Source organism: Homo sapiens, chromosome 1 (genome assembly GCF_000001405.40).
Source record: "Homo sapiens chromosome 1, GRCh38.p14 Primary Assembly".
NCBI classification, from domain to species: Eukaryota; Metazoa; Chordata; class Mammalia; order Primates; family Hominidae; genus Homo; species Homo sapiens.
The window spans coordinates 9,496,816-9,503,558 of NC_000001.11; positions in this window are offsets into that span (position 1 = coordinate 9,496,816).

Consider the following 6,743-nt stretch of genomic DNA (forward strand, 5'->3'; position numbering starts at 1 on the left):
AGCCCAGACCGCCAAGGGGCATTGCCGGCCTTACCAGCTGGATGCAAACTGCTTCTGCTGGGCCTTATGGACAGGTATAAAGAGAAAGGCATTGGTCAGATCAACAGCTGCATGCAGTAGCAGGGACCAGAGATGTGTGAATTTTGGAGTCGCCACTTGGTTAAGTTTACAATAATCCACTATCAGTTTCCAAAGTCCATCTGTCTTCTGCACAGGCCAAATCGGAGAGTTGAATGGGGATGTGGTGGGGGTCACCACCCCCGCCTCCTCCAAGTCCTTGATGGTGGTGCTAATCTCGGCAGCCCCACCCCAGGGATGCAATGTTGCTTTTGATGTACTATTTTCCCAGGCAGAGGCAACGCTAATGGTTTCCATTTGGCCTTTCCCACCATAACAGCCCTCACCGCACAAGGTAGGGAACCAGTGTGGGGATTCTGCCAGGTGCTAAGTATGTCAACTTCGAACCTGGAACCAGAAAATAACCCCAGGATGGGTTCAGGGATCCACGGGAGCCACCACAAGTTGGACCTAAGCTAAAACTCCACTGAGCACCTGACATCTGTAAGGTGTCCCTATGTTGCCCAGGCTGGTCTCAAACTCTTGCGCCCAATGATCCTTCTGCCTCGGCCTCCCAAAGTGCTGGAATTGCAGGTGTGACCCACCACACCCAGGGACCACAGATTATTTATCTGTTCACCTACTGGAGGACATCTTGGTTACTTCCAAGTTTGGGTAATTAGGAGTAAAGCTGCCATAAACATCCATGTGCAGCTTTTTGTGTGGATGTAAGTTTTCAATTCATCAGCTGGATCGTATAGTAAGAGTATGTTTAGTCTTGTAAGAAACTACCAAACTGTCTTCCAAGGTGGCTGTGCCATTTTGCATTTCCACCGGCAATGAATGAGGGTTCCTGTTGGTCCACATCCCCACTGGCATTTGTGTTGTCAGTGTTGTGGACTTTGGCTATTCTTTTTTTTTTTTTTTTTTTTTTTTTTGAGATGGAGTCTCACTCTGTCACCTAGGCTGGAGTTCAGTGGCACAATCTCAGCTCACTGCAAGCTCTGCCTCCCGAGTTCAAGCAATTCTCCTGCCTCAGACTCCCGAGTAGCTGGGATTACAGGTGTGTGCCACCATGCCTGGCTAATATTTGTATTTTTAGTAGAGACGGGGTTTCGCCATGTTGGCCAGGCTGTTCTGATCCACACGCCTCAGCCTCCCAAAGTGCTGGGATTACAGGCGTGAGCCACCGCGCCCAGCGACTTCGGCCATTCTAATAGGTATGCAGTACTTTCCTTTTTGTTTTACTTTGCAGTTCTCTAATGACAAATGATATCGAACATCTTCTCATATCCTATTTGCCCTCTGCATATCTTCTTTGGTGAGGTGTTGGTCAGGCATTTGCTCCATTTTAAAATCAGGTTGCTCATTTTCTTATTGTTGAGTTATTTGTATATTTTGGTTTTTTGTTTGTTTTTTGTTGTTGTTGTTGTTTTGAGACAGTCTTGCTCTGTTACCCGGGCTGGAGTGCAGTGGCACAATCTCAGCTCACTGCAACTTCTACCTCCCAGGTTCAAGCAATTCTTGAGTCTCAACTTCCCAAGAAGCTGGAATTACAGGCATGCGCCATCACGCCTAGCTAAATTTTGTATTTTTAGTAGAGACAGGGTTTCACCATGTTGGCCAGCCTGTTCTCAAACTCCTCGCCTCGAGTGATACGTCCCCCTCGGCTTCCCAAAGTGTTGGAATTATAGGCGTGAGCCACCGTGCCGGCTTATTTGTATATTTTGAATAACAATCGTGTGTGTGTATGTTGGATTTTGTTTTTTGTTTTTTGAGACAGGGTCTCATTCTGTTGCCCAGGCTGGAGTGCAGTGGTGAAATCACAGCTTACTGCAGCCTCAACCTCCCTGACTCAAGCAATCTTCCCACCTCAGCTTCCCAAGTAGCTGGGACTAAAGGTGTGTGCCACCACACCCAGCTAATTTTAACACTGTTTGTAGACAGGGTCTCCCTATGTTGCCCAGGCTGGTCTTGAACTCCTGGGCTCTAGCGATCCTCCTGTCTTGGCCTCTCCCAAAGTGCTGAGATTACAGGAATGAACCACCACTCCCAGCCCAATCTTTTATCAGATATGTCTTTTGCAAATATTTTCTCCCAGGTTATGGCTTGTCTCTGCATTCTCTTGACAGTGACTTACACAGAGTACAAGTTTTTAATTTTAATGAAACTAGTCTATCAATTCTTGTTTTTATGGATCATGCCTTTGGTGTTACGTCTGAAAAGTCCTCACCATACACAAGGTCATCTAGATTATCTCTTATTTATCTTCTAGGAGTTTGATTGTCTTATGTTTTACATTTAGGTCTATGGCCCATTTTGAATTGACTTTTAGTGAAGGCTGTAAGGTCTGTATCTAGATTTTTTGTTGTTGTTGTTTTGTTTGGCATGTGGAAGTCCAGTTGTTCCAGCACCATTTCTATTTTTTTTTTTCCAGCACCATTTCTTGAAAAGACTATCCTGGCCAAGTGCAGTGGGTCATGCCTGTAATCCCAGCATTTTGGGAGGCCAAGGTGGGTGGATCACCCGAGGTCAGGAGTTCAAGACCAGCCTGACCAAAATGGAGAAACCTTGTCTCTACTAAAAATACAAAATTAGCCTGGTGTGGTGGCACACACCTGTAATCCCAGCTACCCTGGAGTCTGAGGCACAAGAATCGCTTGAACCCGGGAGGCGGAAGTTGCGGCTAGCCCAAATCACGCCATTGCACTCCAGCCTGGGCAACAAGAATGAGACTCCATCTCAAAAAAAAAAAAAGAAAGAAAAAAAAAAGACTATCTTTGCTCTATTGTATTGCTTTTGCTCTTTTGTCAAAGATCAGTTGACTCTACTTATGTGGGTCAATTTATGGGCTCTCTATTCCATTCCATTGATCTATTGATCTATTTTTCTATTCTCTCACCAATACTACAGTGCATTGATTACTGTAGCTTTAGAGTAAGTCTTTTTTTTTTTTTTTTTCCTGAGACAGAGTTTTGCTCTGTTGCCCAGGCTGCAGTGAGGTGGCACCATCTCAGCTCATTGTAACTTCTGCCTCCTGGGTTCAAGCAATTCTCCTGCCTCAGCCTCCCGAGTAGCTGGGATTACAGGCACCCACCACCACGCCTGGCTAATTTTTGTAATTTTAGTGGAGATGGGGTTTCACCATGTTGGCCAACTGGTCTCAAACTCCTGACCTCAAGTCATCTGCCCACCTCGGCCTCCCAAATTGCTGGGATCACAGGCATGAGCCACCATGCCTGGCCAAGAGTAGGTCTTGAAGTAGTGCAGTCCTTCGACTGTGTTCTCCTTCATTGAGTTGGCTATTCCGGGTCTTTTGCTTCTCCAGAAACACTTTAGAATTGTTTTGTTGATATCCACAAAGTTAAATGCTGAGAATCTATATATAAAGTTGGGAAGAACTGACTGACTGGGCTCAGTTCACAATATTGAGTCTCCTATCCATGAACATGGATTATTTCTCTATTTATTTAGTTGTTCTTTGATTCCTTTCATCAGAGCTTTATCATTTTCCTCTGATCTTGTACATATTTTGTGAGATTTATACCTAGGCATTTCTTTTTTTGAGACAGATTCTCTCCCTGTCACCCAGGCTGCAGTGCCATGGCGTGAACTAGGCTCACCACAACTTCTGCCTCCTGGGTTCAAGTGATTCTTGTGCCTCAGCCTCCCAAGTAGCTGGGACTACAGACACACATACCACACCCAGCTAATTTTTGTATTTTTAGTAGAGATGGTGTTTCACCATGTTGGCCAGGCTGGTCTCAAACTCCTGACCTCAAGTGATCCACCTGCCTCAGTTTCCCAAACTCTGGGATTACAGGTGTGAACCACTGTGCCTGGCCTTAATTCTGAGGGATGCTAATGTAAATGGTAATATGTTTTTACTTTCAAATTCCACTTTATTGCTGGCATTAGGAAAGTAATTGACTTTTGTATATTAACCTTTATCCTGGAACCTTTCATCATTAGCCTTCTCCCGGGACTGGCATCTCACCCTTTAGATTAGAACCCCATGACAGCAGGCAGTGGCACTGGGACGTCTGGAGGCCTGGACAGGGCTGCCTTGTATAGGTGCGCAGGGTGTACACACTGCACACTGAAGAGACAGCCATTCACATCACCTACATACTGGACATTGTAGATTTGTATGTTTTTGGTGTCAATTTCCTAGCAGTCAAGGGTCTTGAGGAAGAGATACTGTTTTCTAATTCTCACAGAGGAGGCTCTGATCCCGCGATGGCCCTGGTCAAGGCTGGAGTGAACCGGCTGCCTCACGTGCTGGGCGATACTGAGGACACTAGGTTGTGAGTCAAGACAAGGGAAAGGGCTGGGAGGAAGAGCGTGGGTTCAGATGCAACTGCTGGCCTGCGGTTCTCTCTGTACTGTACTTTCTGCCTCTGATGTTGCCCACTGGGCCAGAAGCAACCAGCTACTGATTAACAGAGTCCTCCGGGCAGCTGTGTGTGGCTTTTTCCGATGAACCAAGTGCGAAAACTTTTTCAAAGTCGAATGTGGGTCAAGAGGCATCAGGCAGAGAGGTTAAGAATAAGGCTGGTAGAGTGTGACAAGCCATGGGTCTAGTCCCAGCTGTCCATGACCTTGGACAAGTTATCTGATTTCTCAGCGTCTTTGTCTGTAGGTAGAGTAGGTAGCAAGGGTACCTACCCTACAGCCTGTTGTAAGGAAGAGACACGATTTTGCATGTAAATCACTTAGCATGGTAAACCTTGATAGCAGAAACGATTAAAAAATAAAACAGCAAAGGGAGGGTGACACCAGCACCCCCAGGACTGACTCAGCATTTGGGCCCAGGGGCTCTGATACATTTAGACCCAGAGAAAATGTTTCAACTCCTTTATAAAATCAGGAGGAAATGTCCAGGCACAGTAGCTCACTCCTGTAATCCCAGCATTTTGGGAGGCTGAGATGGGCAGATCACTTGAGGTCAGGAGTTTGAGACCAGCCTGGCCAACACAGCAAAACCCCCTCTCTTTAGCCAGGCATGGTGGTGCATGCCTGTAATCCCAGCTACTTGGGAGGCTGAGGCAGGAGAATTGCTTGAATCCGGGAGGCAGAGGTTGCAGTGAGCCGAGATTGCGCCATTGCACTCTAGCTTGGGCAACAAGAGTGGAACTCCGTCTCAAAAAAATAAATAAATAAATAAAATTTAAAAACACAAAAATAAAATAAAATAATTAATAGTAAACAGGTGTGGGTCTCTACTAAAAATACAAAATTATCCGGGCATGGTGGCACACACCTGTAATCCCAGCTACTCGGGAGGCTGACGCAGGAGAATCACTTGAACCCGGGAGGTGGAGGTTGCAGTGAGCCGAGATGGCGCCACTGCACTCCAGCCTGGGTGACAGGGGGAGACACCCTCTCAAAAAAAATAAAAATAAATAAAAAATAAAATCAGGAGGAAAATATGAATATAATAATAAATATATATGAATAAATATATAAATATATAATAAATATATATGAATATAATCATAAATACATATCATAACGACTCCAGTTTGGATTTTATCTGTAAAATCGTATGTGGCTATAAAATATAATTTTAAAAAAATTTTAATGGAGAAGGTACTCACAAAAGAAAAAGTACCCAGGGCCTGTGAAAAGCACAGCACAGCCCTAAGTCCTATAAAATATGTTTTTGAAGCCTTTTCTCCAGGGACTTCAGTCTACTTTGCAAATAAAAATGAAACTCCCGCTGGGCACAGTGGCTCATGCCTGTAATACCAGCACTGTGGGAGACTGAGGCAGGAGGATCATTTGAGTTCAGGAGTTCAAGACCAGCCTTGGCAACATGGTGAAACCCCCATGTCTACCAACAAAAACAAAAATTAGCCAGGCATGGTGGCACATGCCTGTAGTCCCACCTACTTCGGGGCTGAGGCAAGTGGGTCGCTTTACCCTGGGAGATGGATATTGCAGTGAGCTATGATCGTGCCACTGCACTCCAGCCTGGGTGACAAAGTGAGACCCTGTCTCATAAAAAAAAAAAAAAAGAAGAAGAAAAGGAAAGAAAGAAGAAAAAGAAGAAAAAAGAGAGAAAGAAGAAAGAAAGAAAGAAAGAAGGGAGGGAGGGAGGGAGGGAGGGAAGGAAGGAAGGAAGGAAGGAAGGAAGGAAGGAAGGAAGGAAGGAAGGAAGGAGGGAGGGAAGGAAGAAAGAAAGAAAGAAAAGTTTCGATATGTCCATCTCTGAGAAAGGACACCATCGGGGCAAATTTTAGGGAGATGCTCTTGGGAGCACCGCCCCCTCCAACCCAGAGCTCCACTGTTTCCTTCCCACGGTCAAGGCATTTGTCCAGAGGAAAGGTGGAAGAAAAACCTCACCTTTGAGCTTTTGAGGTCTCGAATGTGTTTGGTGACCAAGTATTGATCCAGTGATTTGATTCTGGGATTCCGTCCATGCTCAGACGTAGATTCTTATTGGAAAAAAAGAAAAAGAAAGAAAAAACTTGGCACCGGTGACCCAAACAAGCCAGTCTGATCCAGGCACACTGGAGGCAGCCAGGGCTTATAAATAACCACGCTGGCCAGGCCCGGAGGAGCCTGGGCCGTACAGTCTGTCCCATGAGGGGCCGGCGGCTCCTGGGCCCTAGTTTCACCTCATGGCATCAGCCGGGCTGTTATTTCACTCCAAGAAGAGGAGGGAACACAGGGTGGTGGCT